Below are 18,283 nucleotides of genomic sequence, written 5' to 3' on the forward strand. Positions count from 1 at the left end.
GGTGGTTATAGAACCAAATTGACCTATAACACTGATTACATATCCTTATGCATATTCATAGATCTTACTAACCGAAAGATTAAAAATAATTTTATTTGCAAATTCTAGCAATATAAAAACTGTGCTTTTCTGTATTTTTGTGAAAGACAAATAATTTGAAAAATACACAACACCCAAAAATAAAATCATGTTCTTCTTTAGTTTCTCTTCTAATTACCAACAATTTCAAAATTGTTTTATTACTTTTAGTAAGTTACAATTTTTTCTTATAAAAAAGTTACCTTTAGTTTTATGGTGTCACTAATATATTACTTAATATAGAGCCAGAGATAAGTAAATTTTTTCAGTAAAAGGCCATATAGTAAATTTTTTTTCAGTTTTATAGGCCATATAGCCTCTGTCCCAACTATTCAACTCTGCCACTGTAGTGTAGTGTGGCCATAGACAACATGTAAACAAATGAATGTGGTAGTGTTACAGCTAAACTTTATATATTAATACAAAAACTGGCAGCAGGCTGGATTTGACTATGGGCCATAGTCTGCTGACCCTGATAGAGAGACTGATGGCATTTTAAAACTTCAGCAAGATTTTAAAAGATATTCTAAAATAGCAGAACTGTATCAACTATGTTAAGTATCTTGAATGTCTGTGTACTGCACAACTCCAGAGGATATTCAGTTCCCATTAACTATATAGTGTGAACGGCACTCCCTGAAGTAGGACCATATGGTGGCCCTGATAATAACCCCCCTCCATTTCTGCTCATTTATATCAAGGTTATCTGTATCTAGCCTGCTGCCTGTTTTGTAGATAAAGTTTTATTGGAACACAGCCATGCTCATTTGTTTATATATTGTCCATGCTGCTTTCACACCAATAGCAGAAAGCAGTAGTTTCAACAAAAGTCAGTTTTGTCCACAAAACCTAAACTGGTAATTTCACAAAAAATGTTTGCTGATCACCTGACTATACCCTTATTATGTTCCTCTTTAATGATGAAACGACAGGGCATAATGTGGGAAAGCTTCTGTAATTATTCAGTCCAACAAAGGATGTATCAGAAAGTTAGCCACATACCTAAAGCTGCTTCTGAATTCTTATTTTTTTATTCAGTGTTTCTCATCCTAAGGATGTGGTTCAACAAACTAAATACACTTCCTTATAGCTGATCCTCTTACTGAGTTAACATTTTCAATAACAAATCAGTTACTTTGAAGAATTTGTATCAATCAAGAATTTAAACACAATCCAGAGGCTTTACCTGTTTGTGGAGGAAGGGCAGAGTTTGCATGGCAATGGACCGTGGTCTGGTGCAGCTGGCATACATCCCTCACATGCCTATCAGGGAAGACTTGAGAAACTTCTTATCAGTGACTTAGTACTACGTAGTTTTTTCTGAGTATCTCACAAGTTAGGTTTGGAAGCAATTGCGTTGGTGCCAGTAAATCTTATCGTGGGCTTTATTTGGAGAATAATTTAGTGCTGCTGTCATTGAATAATAAAATTGCTAAGGCTGTGGAAATAAACGTTAGGAGGAAGGAGAGAGTAATTTTTCTATTGTTTACACCTGAAAGCTAGTTAATACTCATGGTTTTTGTTTGTTTGTTTTTGTTTTTGCTGCATTTCTTTGGTACATTTATACTTGTTTCATTTTGCTGATATGGGAACATGTGATTTATATTTTTAATTCATGAGTACCCTAAAAGTTGATATTTGAGATATTGGAAAGACAAAGTTAATTTTGTTATTTCTTTACTTGTTATTAGTGGAGAGTTTCTCCTTCAATCACACTTTCCTTAACTCATGTAACACTTACCTTCTTGGTTCTCTTACTTTTGTGGCTCCAGCTTCTCGGTCAAGTCCCTTGAATTCTAGTATTCATTATCTATTCTCCCTAGGTCTCATGAACTCCCTTTACTTATCTTTCATTTATATGCCTATGGTCTCCAAATTTATGTCTTCAACTTAGATATCCTTTTTTGAATTTCAGACCTTTGTATTCAGCTACATTTCAGACATTTTTATTTGTTTATCTCTTAAGCACTAAATGCTCCTGTTCCTTTTGAATCTGCCCATATTTATGTCCTATTATAATGGTTAGTACCACAATCTGTGCTGTTACTAAAGCTAAATACTGTCATCCTTGACCTTTTGCCCCACAGCCACTCAGCCTCAAAGTCCTCTGAGTTCTACTTCATAAATATCCCTTGAATACATCTCATCCTTTCCATTCCCACAGCAATATCCTAGTTCAGATCACCTGGTTTATTTTAACTATCTCTTAATTTGTCTCTGTTTTCATCTTAGACCCTCCCATTATTCTCCACATTGCATTCCAGGTGGTTTGTCTAAAATCAAAATCTAGTCATGTTGCTACCCTATGTAAAATTTTTTACTGGATTATCATTATTCTTAGAATTAAGTCCAGTTTACTAATTTGGTTTACTCAGCATGTAGTCTTTGGTCTCTACTTACCTTTCTAGCCTTGTGTCTTATTTCTCTCTCAATTAGATTGTATATGGGCCATCCCATCTATTGTGACCCTTTATGCACACTGCTGCTCACTTTGCCTAGAATACACTTTCCCTCCCCACTCCCAACTTACTGGGCTTCAGTTCTTATCTTATATATTATCCCTTCTCCCCTGCTCCAGCCAAGTCTGAATTAGCTGGTTTTGCCATGAGCTCCCTTAGTACCTTGGATGCTCCTGTTCTTAGTATTTATTACCTCACAAATAACTATGCATTTCTTTTTCAAAATAGTCTAAATATAAGTTTATTGAGGATAGTGATATGTGTCCATAGTCTGTAAATTAGACTGGCACATGTGTCTGGCACATACTTTATGCTTATAAATATTTTTCTATTAAATGAGAGTAATATGAAGTGGTCTTCTGTATAACTATAAAACCCTATTACATGATTTTCTTACATGCTACATATCTTTTTAAATGATTTGTCCTTTTCTGCATGTTTTTAGAGGAATATAGGAATAAGTAAAGATCTAGTACCTTTTAAGTTAGCATACTTTAAGTTTTAATATCAATAAATATGTTTATTTCAGAATTGTTTAATTATATAACCCTATTTTAATTCAAACCCTATCATTGGAATCCCTGTTTTAATTTTATCATCATGATAATGCGTATCTGTTTTTAAAAGAGGCTACAAGATGAAGCATGGTTGTTTTTCCTGATCTATACCTTCATTAATCTCCCATTGCTAGTAATCCTTACTGATGGATTTGATATTTATATTTAGGCTTTAAAAAATTATATTCCATAAGAAAGGGAGATAATGCTTAATTGTTGGGCATTTTGTTTGTTACAGTCTACCCTGACATTTGCACTATCAGCCTTGTAGCAGTGAGTGATGTGAATAAACATGCTGATAGAATTGCTTTTTGGGATGATGTCTATGGCTTCAAGATGTCCTGCATGAAGAAAGCAGTTATTCCAGAAGCTGTTGTGGAAGTTTTAGATCCGAAGACTCTTATTTCAGAACCTTGTGGTATTAAGGTAGGTGTTTTACCAACTTTATTTTTTATAATGGTATTGCTATTTTTCTTAGTTCAGCATTTGAAAATAATATATTGATTTTATATATGGGCTTTCAAAACAGTACTTTTCCCATTGTAATCAGTCTAAAACAAATTGAGGTCATAATATTTACCAGTTGACTATATCATCTCTTTAGAATCACTTCTCTGTATATTAAAACTCCTTACACTCAGTTTTACAGTCCTTCAAATCTAACTCTGAACCGGTTGAATAATTTATATTTACTTTGGCTTAATAAGGTAAAAAGTCCTGCTGTATTATCAGTTCTGCTTCATCATCCTCCCCAGCCTTATTTTAGCTTCTCATTTACAGCCAGATTATTCATTCGTGTCATATATTCCACACAGTTTAACTTCTCTCATTCAGATTTCTTCCAGCGTTTTCAGATTAAGTAATTACATATAGTAAATTTGCCCATGAAACGAAAGCCCTACTATGTTCAGATTTCTCAGTTAATTCCTTTTGTGTTTTGTCATCTTATTTTTTGCCATGTTAATCTCTGGGTTTATTATGAATTTTTCTATGTTGAATTTACATGGGTTCACTAATAACTTTGCAGCAAAAAACAATACTGCTTTTCTTAACTCTTGGTCTGTTTCAACTAGATAATCAAATCTAGAGCAGTATGTTCAGTGTTAGGTTCAGGATATTGTCTTTGTCTCAAGAGAAAAAAAAAAAAAGAGTCTCACTCTGTCGCCCAGGCTGGAGTGCAGTGGCGCAATCTCGGCTCACTGCAATCTCCGCCTCCCGTGTTCAAGCGATTCCCCTGCCTCAGCCTCCCAAGTAGCTGGGACTACAGGCATGCACCACCATGCCTGGCTAAATTTTTGTATTTTAGTAGAGATGGGGTTTCACCGTGTTGACCAGGATGGTCTTGATCTCCTGACCTCATGATCCGCCTGCCTCGGCCTCCCGAAGTGCTGTCTTCTCGTTTTAATCACGCTGTTACTTTCATATAGCATCAATATTTCTTCTCTGTACAAAGCAGATATTTAGTACATATTTAATTTTCTTAAATGGATAAAGCATTAATAGTATAGAGTAATAAATGTGAAGTTTCTTAACAAGAGCAGGCTGATTAAAAGTGCGTTCAGCTTTTAAGAAAAACAGTCTGCTTGATGGTTATACGACTTCAGTGCTCTGGTACAGTGAGAATAAAGAGTTTATTTGGGCTCTTTGGCTCAGGATAGGAGTGTACAGTTATAACCAACTAAGCCTTAAAGTTGAGCAGAAAGAGGAGAGTTGGTGGAGGTTGCTGATTTCTCTCTCTAGTGATCTCTGCTTAATGCAAAAACTGCCATGAATAAATAGTTGAGACAGAAAAATTTAGACCTGAAAATAAGGTGTTAAAAAGTGTATGTACTCTTTTTTTTTTTTTAACATTTATTTAAGTAAATAGTTTGTTCTGTATTTTCCAGTCCTCCCACAAACACATTGTACTGTTAAAATGTTTTCTCAAATTGTTTTCAATAGTGTCTCAGATGTGTGGTTACATTAATTGCATTCACTGGGTTATGATCTACTCCTGGCTGGATCTACTCAGCTGATGACGGTCTTTACAGCACACTTCTGGTTAGACTGCTGTAGTTGAAAGGTGATTCCATCCCTTCTCCAAAGTATAATGGAGAAGGATTTGAAAAAGGGCAGAATGGGAAAATAAAGATATTTCGCTATTTTTTCTCTGGATCGAAATCTCCATAGTTTTGCTGTTTTGTTTGAATTGTGTGGTTTCTCCTCATATCTAACAAAACTTATCTTCAATTATAGACATGAATTTTAAAACAACTTTCTTTTCATTAGCATGTGTTTTCAAGTTGGCAGTTCCTATAAATGTATTGACTGTTATCACACATATTTTATAGCAGTTGTGGTGGGTGTACCATACACAGTAGGCAAAATGATGTTAGGTGAAACACAGGAAAACATTTTTTATTTGAAAGTATTTATTTTAGTGTGTCAGGAAAACTTTAGCACATTAGCACTATGATTTGATAAATACTATTGTTTACAAGGAGCCTAAGTTAAATGAATTTAAGAAAAAATTAACAAGATGATAGTACTAGTACTCCTTAAACTTATAAATAATTCCAAAAATTAGCATGTGAGTAAAGTTTGCAAAACTTTGGTTTCCAATAATCATTTGTGCATAAAAGAAGTAATGTTTGTCTGGGTTGTTTTTGTTTTATTTTTTGTTTTTTTTTTTTGGACTATTTTTACTAAGCTCTTTCTTCACTTCTTTTTAATGGGTAGCATATAGATTGCCATACGACGTCTATCTCAGATTTGGAATTTTCATCAGATTTTACCCTGAAAATCACAAGGACATCCATGTGCACGGTAAGCTATTTCATTCTGCTTTTACAAATTTCACTAGCAGTGCAGTTGATTGGCAGGCTAATGAGTTTAATTACCAGGCTTGTGACAAATGAAAATGACTATTGCCTCTGACAGTCTACCATTGCCTTTGCTAGGCCATTGAACAGATCTGGTTAATAGGTCAGTAAACTTCAAAAAAGTTTAATTCAGTAGAAAAAGTATTAGGAAACCCTGTTTACATAATGATTTTTCTTTATAGAGTCTTCATTATTTCCTATCACGTGGTTAGTCAAGAGCACTCAACTTTATCTTCAAAGACCAAAGTTCATACCCTATTCCTCCCTTTAACTCTTTACATTTAATTTAGATGGAAGATATGTTTATTTGGTAGAATATTTTATGTTTTATATTTATGTATGAAAAAATTACTGAACTGCTATTGAGTTACCTTTCAAAAATCTAATAATAATTTAATAGTCTAATAGAAAAAATCCTTTGGAAAAGTTAGGCAGATCTGGGTTCCTATGTGGTTCTACCACTTATTTCGTTGTTAAGTTACCTAAGTAATCTGTACTTCAGACTATTCAGTTGCTTTAAGAAAAATGGGGATAATTCTGTTTCGATGACTCATTACATGGATTCATGAGATATATGTGAAAATACCTGCAATGTAGCCAGAAACGTTAGATTATTAAAATATAAAAAATTTTTCATCTCAAATAATTTATAAATGTTTATTTTTTTAAGATAACATTTACTGCTGTCAGGAGACTCAAATTGTTCATAAAATCTGCTCCTTATAGTATGAGTTTATATAGGTGGTATTAACATATTTATATTATTTTAAAAATATATGGTTTTTAAAACTATGTCCTCAGAAGTTTACATTTTTATGGAAAATTGTATTGTCAGAATCTGTAAAATAGATTATAAGTCATGTTAACATTGAGTCTTCTGCCTGATTCTTTTAAATATTTGGTTCAGATCGATATATTATACACAAGACTTCATGTCTTTACAGTTGTTTCAGTTCATTTTGATTCAGTGATTATTTTATATCCAAATAAGTTTAACAATGTACTTTGATGTTTTGAGGGAATCTTCTTTTAGTTGAAGTTGGTTTTATAATTTTTTAAAGTTTAAATATCCAGATTTAAGTTTAATTTAAATATCCAGATTAAAGTTTAAATATCACAAATAAAGATTTGTGACTTTGGAGCACTCATTATTTATTTAATTAACAAAAAGCAAAATTTGATTCATTTCCCATGTATTTTCTAATTCTGCTTTTTAGTAATTGAAATTATTTTTGTCAATTGAAATTAGGCTAAAGGCTAACTCCTAGACTTTCCTTTTTGTTTTGATATTATTAATACATGAGGGTTGAAAAAAGACCATCTTGATTAATGAAAATTGATCAATCATCTATAAAGGAATTCCTAGAATAAATTGTCATGTCACCAGTATTAAATATATATTTCACATATATTTTCAGTGCCTATCACATGAATCAAAATAGAGCAGATGTAAAACTCTACTGAAGATGTCAAAAGCTTGTGCATATTTGTGAACTCTAGAAAAGTTTATTGACTTTCATTGAAATGTTCTTTTTTTCTAGTTTATTGGTCAGGGTTCTTAGTTTTCGACAACAGAATTTAAATCGGTTGGTTTAAACTGAGAGATTTGTTAGAGGGAATACAATAGTTTCCAGACACATTGGGAGACCTAAAGGAACAGACAGTATTTTCAACTTCTAGAAACTTCTAGAACCACACCTTTGAACTGGCCTGCTACAGAGCTGCCTGTTTTAAATAGCCTAGCACTGTAGGTTCTATTTACCTTAATTCCCCTAGCCCACTCCGTGTTAGCCACCACTGACAACCCCAGATGAACAAAACCCTTTACTACCATCCTGGTTCCTGGTCCTCTGTCCTCCCAACCCAGGTAGGCCATGTTCTCCTTCCAAATCTTCATTCAGCATATCTGCTTGGTGAATCTAGGTCATGTGGGGCCCTAGCTGTCAGTAAGTTTTGGAAAGCAGTTTTAGCTACAGTTTTATACTACAGATCTGGAGTTTCATAACACATATATGGAATTGTTTTCTATTTCCTAGTATTTAGGATAGAGTACAAGAAGGTTTGTATTAAATGAAACTGTATCCTTCAGTCATCTTAGTTTTATTCTGTATACTTAAAAGAGTAAAAAGAAACATCTTAGTTTTATTCTGTATACTTAAAAGAGTAAAACAAAACAAGAAAAAAATTGGTAAAGTCTATTTAATTCAAAGATTGTAATTGAACTTTTAATATTGAAGAATCTAAGTATCAAATAGTTACTTGCTGCATTTGTCCCTGTACAAAGTTCCATAAGAAAAATGAATTATAAGTAAACTGTTACATTATATCTATAAAGTACCTTTTATTTAGATTTGCATTTTTAGTCGCAACTTGCCTGAATGGTGTTTATGAAAAAGTTTGTTTGGAAATTAGGTGAGCCTAAGGTTTGCGAAGAAGGTGGCAGGAGGTTGGAGTGGAGTTACAGGTGTCTAGTTACTGCTGAATAACCTAGTTCCATAACTCACCTCAGGAAGAATGTATTGTTACAAACCATTTATTGGATGCATGCCAGGTACTGAAGATAAAATATTTTAGTAGTTAGCATTGAATGTTAACTCTTCTGACATTATCCTTTAAAATTTAGTTAATATTATCAGAGGAAGGTAACGTACATCAACAGTCGTTGAACACTTGAATGTCAGACAATGTGCTAATCACTTTAAAAGCATTATTTAGTTCTCATAATAACCATTTGAGATGAGTACTCATATTATTCCCATCTTACTGGTGAAGGAAAAAAATTACTGTTTTACTTGTGAAATAAAATCTCCTTACTCTTTCCTGACCCAAAAAACCTTCTTTGTGGGATTGTAGAAACTATTAAAAGAACTTAGAGAAACCTATGAATAAGATCTTACAGGGGTAGAAGAAAGCAGGCTTCGTGTTGCATTTGAAACAGATTTAACAATGTTTATTTTTGGCAAATAGTCCAGCAGTTGGAATGAAGAGGGAAAGAGAATATGTATAATCAGAATTCACTCTTCTTAAGAGACAGGCCTCACAGATTCATGTGATGAAATCAGTACCAGAGTTCATCCTCTTTGCAGCAGATAGGAAGTAGATCTTTGAAGTTTTTCTTTATCCTCTCAGAGTAAGCTTATACTTGTTTGGTTAAGCATCTACATTTCTTGGAAACCTCCTTCCCAGCATGCTAACTCTAACGTGAGCTTGACATATGTAAGATGTTGTGGCCTAATGCTTCTATTAGGTGTTCATTATTTGTGAATCTTAACTATCCACCCATATTTACTTCGATTCTCTTGCTCTTTGGGATGGTATCAGCTCCTTACCCTCCCTCCTACAGACCTATCCATCTGGAGCTACTTACGCAAGCATGGCCTCTTTGAATGGATTAGTCGCCCAGTTTATGTGGGAATAATCCATAACAAAAGTATTAAAAAGGATGAGTGCCTAATTGGAACTTTGTTTCCCCTTTATAGTTAGAAGAATTAGCGAAGATATTGAAAGTTTTTGAAAAAGCCTAGTAAAGGAATAAATAAAGTAACTGGGGAATAAGAGGAAGAGATTGGGCTTTTTTAGATAGAGGGAAGAAGAAAGTATCTGAATTTGTACTGCTAAGTACAAACCTTCAGATATTAAATGCTTTTCTTCTTGTGTTGAAACTTGAATGCTTAGCTACTAATTAAAGTGGAGAATTTCTCTATTATAGTTAGCCCAGTTTAAATATATGTATGATATATGTATAACGTGGTTTTTGTTTTGTTTGTTTGTTTGTTTGTTTTGAGACAGGGTCTCACTCTATATTGCCTAGGCTGGAGTGCAGTGGCATGATCTCAGCCCACTGCAACCTCCGCCTTCCAGGTTCAAGCGATCCTCTTGGCTCAGCCTCCCTAGTAGCTGGGACTGCAGATGTGCGCCACCACAGCCGGCTAATTTTTGTATTTTTAGTAGAGACAGGGTTTCACTGTGTTGGCTGTGCTGGTCTCAAACTCATGTCCTCAGATGATTTGCCTGCCTCAGCCTCTCAAAGTGCTGGGATTACAGGCATGAACCACTCTCTGCCTGGTCATAACCATTTATTTCTTAATGAGATTCTAAATTTGTGGCCTAATTTAAAAGTTAGAGGAAATTGGATTTTACAAAGTTACAAGATGCTAAGAACACCCCTTTTGTATTTTAATAGCATGTATGCTATAGACTGATAATGCTTTTAGATAGCTTCTTGAAGATTATTAGAACCTTTCATGAAAAACATTATCTTCTGCAGTCTTCTCCACCACCAAATACACACATCCCCATATGCCACAGACGAAGCTTCATGGCATTTTAATGTTTTACATTAACAGACTTTATATTTTAGGAATTTAACATGTGATATTTATATGTAAATGTCTTGAATCTTGAATCATCTATAATGATTGAAGGATAATTTTTCAATGAGTACTGGTACCACATAGCAGTTTTCTGAGCATTTCTTACTTTAGGATATTTTTGACAGTTTAGATAAAATTGTCATTGCTTTTACAATAGAGATGAAGTTTAGCTGGCTCCTGACATTTCATCTATCATATCAGCCTGCTTAACCTAGCCAAAAATGAACAATAAAGTCAGTGATTTTTGTGGAAAGTTTATAGGTGTTCAAAAGCAAAAGCGGTAAGACTATAAAATTTAGAAGTCATATGTTTTATCTTGTGAGTTCTCGTTTATTTGTAATGTCATTTGTGTAATATTCGCTTACTCTGTATGCCAAGTGGCATTTATATTTTCATCTGTGTGTCTATAAGCTACTTAAAGGTATAGAAAGGTATGTTCGTTCATAATTCTAAGTATACATTAAATGATTTTGAATAATGCTTATTATAGAACAAATGAGTTGTTTACCTTAAAAATGAAAATAGTTAAGATGGATTTATCAGATTACATGCTCACACAAATAACACAGGTTGAGTATCTCTTATACAAAATGCTTGCTTGGGCCCAGAAGTGTTTCAGATTTAGAAATTTTTTGGATTTTGGAATATTTCCATTTATGCATTCCTAATGCAGAAATCTGAAATCCAAAAGCATTTCCTTTGAGCATCATGTCATCACCCAAAATTTTAGATTTTGGAGCATTTCAGGTTTTCAGATTATGAATATTCGACCTGTAAAGGTTTTTATTTGATATATCATCTCTTAATAGTTTTTATATCTTAATTTCAGCATTTTTTCTTTTATTCTACTTTTCTATTAGCATGTACCAGAATGACTGGTATAGCAATTTTCAGTTTTCACAAACATTCCTTAACATGTTTTTCCTAGGAATTTTTCTTTTACTACAGTTGTTAAAGATAAACATCTGAATTAAAAAAGAAGCAGACTTTTTTAATACAGTCATGTATCACTTAATGAGGGGGATATATGTGAAGAAGTGTATTGTTATGCAGTCTTGTCATTGTGCAAATATTATAGAATATACTTACAAAAACCTAGATTATATAGCCTACTATACACCTAGGCTATATACTATAGCCTGTTGCTCCTAGGTTACAAACCTGTACAGCATGTTACTGTATTTACAACTATAGGCAATGACAACACAATGGTATTTATGTATCTAAGCATAGAAAAGGTACAGTAAAAATATGGTATTACAATTTTTTCTTCACCTTTTCAGTTCTGGGGTTCATGTGCAGGATGTGCAGGTTTGTTCCATAGGTAAACGTGTGCCATAGTGGTTTGCTGTACAGATCATCCCCTCACCCAGGTATTATGCCCAGTGTCCATTAGCTGTTCTTCCCTCAACCTCCTCCCTCTAACAGGCCCCAGCATGTGTTGTTGCCTCCCCAGGTATCCATGTGTTTGCATTATTCAGCTCTCACTTATAAGTGAGAACATGTGGTGTTTGATTTTCTGTTCCTGCATTCGTTTGCTCGGGATAACAGCTCTCAACTCCATCCACGGCCCTGCAAAGGACATGATCTCGTTCCTTTTTAGGGCTGCATAGTATTCCATGGTGTATATGTATATGTACCACATTTTCTTTATCCAGTCTACCATTAATGGGCATTTAGGTTGACTCCATGTCTTTGCCATCATGAATAGTGCTGCAGTGAACATACATGTGCATGTATCTTTATAATTGAATTATTTATATTACACTGGATATATGTACCCAGTAATGGGATTGCTGGGTCAAATGGTAGTTCTGCCTCTAGGTCTTTGAGGAATTGCCACTGTCTTCTGCAATGGTTAAACTAATTTACATTTCCACCAACCATGTAAACAGCGTTCCTCCTTCTCCACAACCTCACCAGCATCTGTTTTACTTTTTAATAATCACCATTTTGACTGGTATAAGATGGTATTTCCTTGTGGTTTTGATTTACGTTTCTCTAATGATCAGTAATGTTGAGCTTTTTTTCCATATGTTTCTTGGCCACATGTAAAGAAGTGTTTGTTCCTGTTGTTTGCCCACTTTTTAATGGTTTTTTTTCTTGTAAATTTGCATTAGTTCTCGGTAGATTTTGAATATTAGACCTTTGTCAGATGGATAGATTGCAAAAATCTCCCATTCTGTAGGTTGTCTGTTCATTCTGATGATAGTTTCTTTTGCTGTGCAGAAGCTCTTTGTTTAATTAGACCCCACTTGTCAATTTTTGCTTTTGTTGCAAGTGCTTTTGGCATTTTTGTCATGAAATCTTTGCCCGTGCCTATGTCCTTAGTAGTATTACCTAGATTTTCTTCTGGGGTTTTTATAGTTTTGGGTTTTACATTTAAGTCTTTAATCCATTTTGAGTTAATTTTTGTGTATGGTGTAAGGAAGGGGTCCAGTTTTAATTTTCTGCACATGGCTAGCCAGTTCTCCCAACACCATTTATTAGAGACTCCTTTCCCCTTTGCTTGTTTTTGTCAGGTTTTTTGAAGATCAGTTGATTGAAGGTGTGAAGTCTTATTTCTGAGCTCTCCATTCCGTTCCATTGGTCTATGTGTCTGTCCTTGTACCAGTACCATGCTGTTTTGGTTACTGTAGCCATATGCTATAGTTTGCAGTTGGGTAGCATGATGCCTCTAGCTTTGTTCTTTTTGCTTAGGATCATCTTCACTATTCAGGCTCTTTTTTGGTTTTAAAATAGTGTTTCTAATTCTGTGAAGGATGTCCAATGGTAGTTTAATGGGAATAGCATTGAATCTATACATTACTTTGGGAAGTATGGCAATTTTCACAATATTGATTCTTTCTATCCCTTAGCATGGAATGTTTTTCAATTTGTTTGTGTCCTTTCTGTTTTCTTTGAGCAGTGGTTTGCAGTTCTCCTTGAAGAGGTCCTTCACTTCCCTCGTTAGCAGTATTCCTAGGTATTTTTTTTTGTAGCAATTGTGAATGGGAGCTCATTCATGATTTGGCTCTCAGCTTGCCTGTTGTTGGTATATGAGAATGCTAGTGACTTTTTGCTCATTGATTTTTGTGTCCTGAGACTTTGCTGAAGTTGCTTATCAGCTTAAGAAGCTTTTGGGCTGAGATGATGGAGTTTTCTAGATACAGGATCATGTCATCTGCAAACAAAGATAATTTGACTTCCTCTCTTACTATTTAAATATGCTTTATTTCTTTCTCTTGCCTGATTGCCCTGGCCAGGACTTCCAATACTATGTTGAATAGGAGTGGTGAGAGAGGGCATCCTTGTCTTGTGCCTGTTTTCAAGGGGAATGCTTCCACCTGTTGCCCATTCAGTGTGATATTGGCTGTGGGTTTGTCATAAATAGCTCTTATGATTTTGAGATATGTTCCACCAATACCTAGTTTTAGAGTGTTTAACATGAAGGGATGTTGAATTTTACTGAAGGCCTTTTCTGCATCTATTGAGATAATTGTGTGATTTTTGTCATTGGTTCTGTTTTTGTGATGAATCACATTTATTGATTCCATATGTTCAACCAATTTTGCCTCCCAAAGATGAAGCCAACTTGTGCTGCTGAATTCAGTTTGCCAATATTTTGTTGAGGATTTTTGCATTGATGTTCATCAAGGATATTGGCCTGAAGTTTTCTTTTTTTGTTTGTTCATCAAGGATACTGGCCTGAAGTGTTCTTTTTTTGTTTTGTCTCTGCCAGGTTTTGGTATCAGGATGATGCTGGCCTCATAGAACAAGTAGGGAGGAGTTCCTCCTTTTCAATTTTCAGTTGTTTTGAATGGTTTCAGTAAAAGTGGTACCAGCTCCTCTTTGTACCTCTGGTAGAATTAAGCTGTGAATCTATCTGGTCCTGGGCTTTTTTTGGAGGGTGGGGGGTGGAGGGTGGGGAGGTGTTGATAGGCTATTTATCACCGCCTCAATTTCAGAGCTCATTATTGGTCTCATCAGGGATTCAATTTCTTCCTGGCTCAGTCTTGGGAGGGTGTATATGTCCAGGAATTTATCCATTTCTTCTAGGTTTTCTAGTTTATATACAGGTTTTTATAGTTTTCTTTGATGGTTGTTTGTATTTCTGTGGAGACCACGGTAATATTCCTTTACCATTCCTGATTGTATTTATTTGATTCTTCTATTCTTTATTATCTAGCTAGCAGTCTATCGTATTAATTTTTTCAAAAAAACAGCTCCTGGATTCTTTGATGTTTTGAAGGGTTTTTTGTGTCTCTATCTTCTTCACTTCTGCTCTAATCTCGGTTATTTCTTGTCTTCTGCTAGGTTTGGGGTTTGTTTGCTTTTGGTTCTCTAGTGCTTTTAGTTGTGATGTTAGGATGTCGATTTGAGATCTTTCTGTCTTTTTGATGTGTACATTTAGTGCTATATATTTCCCTCTTAACACTGCGTTAGCTGTGTCCCAGTGATTCTGGTATGTTGTCTCTTTGTTCTCATTAGTTTCAAAGAACTCCTTGATTTCTGCCTTAATTTCACTTATTTACCCAGGAGTCATTAAGGAGCAGTTGTTCAATTTCCATGTAGTTGTGTGGTTTTGAGTGAATTTGATTGTGCTGAGGTTTGAGAGACTGTTATGATTTCAATTCTTTTTCATTTGCTGAGGAGTGTTTTACTTCTGGTTAACAGCTCCTGTAATGTTTTACCATGATTCTTAGCTTCTTTACATTGGGTTGCAACGTGCTCCTTTAGCTCAGCAAAGTTCATTATTACCCACCTTCTGAAGCCTACTTCTGTCAATTCAGCCATCTCAGCCCAGTTCTGCAGCCTCAGCCCAGTTCTGTGCCCTTGCTGGAGAGGTGTTGCAGTCATTTGGAGGAAGAGAGGCACTGGCTTTTTGAGTTTTTAGCATTTTTGTGTTGATCCTTTCTCATCTTTGAGGTTGTTAACCTTTGAATGGGGTTTGTGTCAGGTTTTTCATTGATGTTGTTTTCGGTTTTTAACAGTAGGTCCATTCCAGACCCTAGTTGCCTCAGTTTTTCCCATACCAAGTGTCATACAGGGTATGACCAGTGAAGGCTGCAAAACAGCAAAGATGGCAGCCTGCTCCTTCCTCTGGAAGCTCCATCCCTGCAGGGTACTGACCTGTTCCCAGCCTGAACTGCACCCGTACGAGGTGGCTAGAGACCCCTTTTGGGAGGTGTCACCCAGGTAGCAGGAGTGGGATCAGGGATCCGCTTAAAGAAGGAGTCTGGCTCCTTTTTGGTAGTGAAGCTGTGCTGTGCTGTGGGAGACCATTCCTTGTCCAGACCATCTGGACTCTCCAGAGCTGGCAGGCTGGAATAGTCAAGTTGACAGAACTGCAGAGATGGCAGCCGCCCCTCCCCCTGGGAATTTGGTGCTTCTCAGGCAAACCTCTCTGACTGGAATTCCAAGCCAGTGGGGCCCACAGAATTACACTACTTGGCTTCCTGGATTCAGTTCCCCTCCTAAGAGTATCTAGGGACAGATCTCTGGCCTTGCCAGGAATCCTGGGGCCAGAGTATGCAAAACTCCTGAGTCTCTGTGTATGCCCCAGCGGCTGCTCTGCCAGGACTCTATACAGGTGCTATGTATTGGACCGAAGGCCCTGGTGGTGTGGCTTACAAAGGGATCTCCTAGGTGCAAAGATCCATGGGAGAGGTGTGGTTTCCTGGGCAGGATCGCACAATCACTCACTGCTTCCCTTAGCTGGGACTGAGTGTTCCTTTGGCTTCGTGCTGTTAGAATGCTTGTTCTTCAGTACTGCAAGGAAAAATCAGCATTTAGACAAAAAGTTCTCTCAGCGAGGCAATGGTGCTCTTTGCAGATAGAACAATGGCAAGAGCACACTTGAACAAAGGAGGGAAGCAATTTATGTCTTTTATGCAGCTTGTCTTTTCTACTATGTCTTGTTTCCATTGGCTGGAGCCAGACCTCACAATCTAAACTAAAACCTGACTGGCTAATAATTTTAAACTTTTCTAAATAGGTGAAAGCAATGGAAGGACAAAGGAAAAGAGGAAGTTGTTTACTAAAGGACTTAGAAAAGTAATAACATTCTTAAATAAGGAAGGGGTAGGCTGCAAGCTGGGACATGCCTGTGAGCACATCTACTACAAGTATCTTGGTTAAGGTACAAGGACATAGAATGTACTACTTGCCTGTGAGCCTGTGTAACAGCTACATAGGATAGGGCTTAACAAAGGGTTATTAGCACAAAGCAAGGAGGCTTGAACAAACTTAGTCTTTAAAAGAAATTATTATTTCTAACATTTATTATTATCCTTTAACAAGAAGGGAAACTTTGAAGAGGAACTTCTACTTTCTACAGTGCCGCTCCCAGTTGGTTCATCACCCCACCCTGCTTTTCTTCTTTCTCTGTGGGTTGAGATGTTTGCCCAGTCAGTCCCAATACAAGAACCTGGATATTTCAGATGAAGTTGCTGAATTCATTTGCCGCTTTCATTCTTCTCTGTGAGTGCTGCAGACTGCAGCTGCTTCTAATTGGCCATCTTGGCCCCCTTAGTATTATAATCTTATGTGACCACCATTGTATATGCAGTCATTGACTGAAACATTGTTATGTGGCACATGACTCTGTTTTTACTTAAAAACCTCTTAAAGTCCTTTATTTTGGATTCTGTCAAACTTCATAAATTTGAATAGTGTCATGAGAGATACTTAATGTCTTTTTTTTTTTTTTTTTTTGAGACAGAGTCTAGCTCTGTCTTCTGGGCTGGAGTGCAGAGGTGCGATCTCTGCTCACTGCCACCTCAACCTCCCAGGCTCAAGGAAATTCTCCTGCCTCAGCCTCCCCAGTTGCTGGGATTACAGGCAGACGCCACCACGCCCAGCTAATTTTTCTATTTTAGTAGAGATGTATTTTGTATTTAGTAGAGATGGGATTTCACCATATTGGCCAGGCTAGTCTTGAACTCCAGACCTCAGGTGATCTGCCCACCTCAGCCTCCCAAAGTGCTGGGATTACAGGCATGAGCCACCGCCTTTTAAATCTTTACATTAACAGATTTAAACAAATATTAAATGCTGACTATGTGCCAAGTACTTGTCTATAAAGCAGGCACATAAAAACAAATAAAACATGGCGGGGCACAGTGGCTCATGCCTGTAATTCTAGCACTTTGGGAGGCCGAGGCGAGTGGATCACCTCAGGTCAAGAGTTCAAGACCAGCCTGGCCAACGTGGTGAAACCTCATCTCTACTAAAAATACAAAAAATATTAGCCAGGCGTGATGGCAGGCGCCTGTAATCCCAGCTACTCAGGAGGCTGAGGCAGAAGAATTGCTTGAACCCAGGAGGCAGAGGTTGCAGTGAGCTAGATCACCCTATTGCACTCCAGTCTTGGCAATAGAGCAAAAACTCCATCTCAAAAACAAAACATATTCTCTGCCCTGGAAAGGCACTTTAATGAAAGGAGGCAAGTACTATGAACATTTTAATATGAATGATGAACATTTTAATATGAATGTAAAGTTTTAGAGATACACCAAGCGTGGTGTGGTACTGGGTTTCTGGAGGAAAAATGGAGTTAATAAATTTTACGGCCAACATTCCATGAGGAAGTGAAAAACTTTGCCCCTCCCAAACCCAAAATAAAGGAAAAGCTTGAAGTATGGTAGTCACTTCATAAGTTCCTTTGAGATAATTTTTTTCACCTACTTTTTAATTCATTATTTCTTTTTTACATTCTTTCTGCTGTTCATTTTTAGCCAATAAATATTTTTATTTCAGATATCTTTTAGTTGTACAATTTCTATTTTCATTTTTAGAGTTTTTTTATCTCTTTAACCAGTTTGATCCATCTTTTTATCTGAATTCCTTGACATTTATAATCATTCTTTTAAGATGTAATTTGCTAATTCCCCAAGTGATCTGCGATTTTGCTTCTCTTCCCTTTTAAGGGTCACATTTTTCAGTTTGTTCTCATATTTTATGCTAGACATTGT

General features: G+C 36.0%; 1 protein-coding gene across 6 annotated transcripts in view, besides 2 other annotated features; it reads left to right on the top strand.

Annotated features, from left to right (window-relative positions):
* Window positions 1-18,283, top strand: part of PRMT3 (protein arginine methyltransferase 3) — a 121,623-nt gene that overhangs the window by 70,932 nt on the left and 32,408 nt on the right. For 5 of the 6 annotated variants that reach the window (NM_005788.4, NM_001145167.2, NM_001145166.2 and 2 more), the window contains 2 exons: window positions 3,333-3,520; window positions 5,813-5,899. In NM_005788.4, the coding sequence (NP_005779.1) occupies window positions 3,333-3,520; window positions 5,813-5,899 (275 nt within the window). Of the gene's footprint in view, window positions 1-3,332; window positions 3,521-5,812; window positions 5,900-18,283 lie in introns of those variants that run through there. The other variant, XM_047426228.1, reaches the window with a different exon arrangement.
* Window positions 6,459-6,628: an enhancer, noted in NCBI's record as "experimental_19937 CRE fragment used in MPRA reporter constructs". NCBI's record gives its function as "activates a minimal promoter by MPRAs in K562 erythroleukemia cells, with activity observed for both the introgressed and non-introgressed 11:20486737 or rs7126986 variant alleles {active_cell/tissue: K562}" and the evidence as "EXISTENCE:reporter gene assay evidence [ECO:0000049][PMID:34662402]".
* Window position 6,544: a transcriptional cis regulatory region, noted in NCBI's record as "Neanderthal adaptively introgressed variant 11:20486737 (GRCh37/hg19 assembly coordinates) or rs7126986 in the experimental_19937 CRE". NCBI's record gives its function as "modulates activity of the experimental_19937 enhancer by MPRAs in K562 erythroleukemia cells {active_cell/tissue: K562}" and the evidence as "EXISTENCE:reporter gene assay evidence [ECO:0000049][PMID:34662402]".

This window comes from Homo sapiens, chromosome 11 (assembly GCF_000001405.40).
Source record: "Homo sapiens chromosome 11, GRCh38.p14 Primary Assembly".
In the NCBI taxonomy this organism is placed as follows: domain Eukaryota; kingdom Metazoa; phylum Chordata; class Mammalia; order Primates; family Hominidae; genus Homo; species Homo sapiens.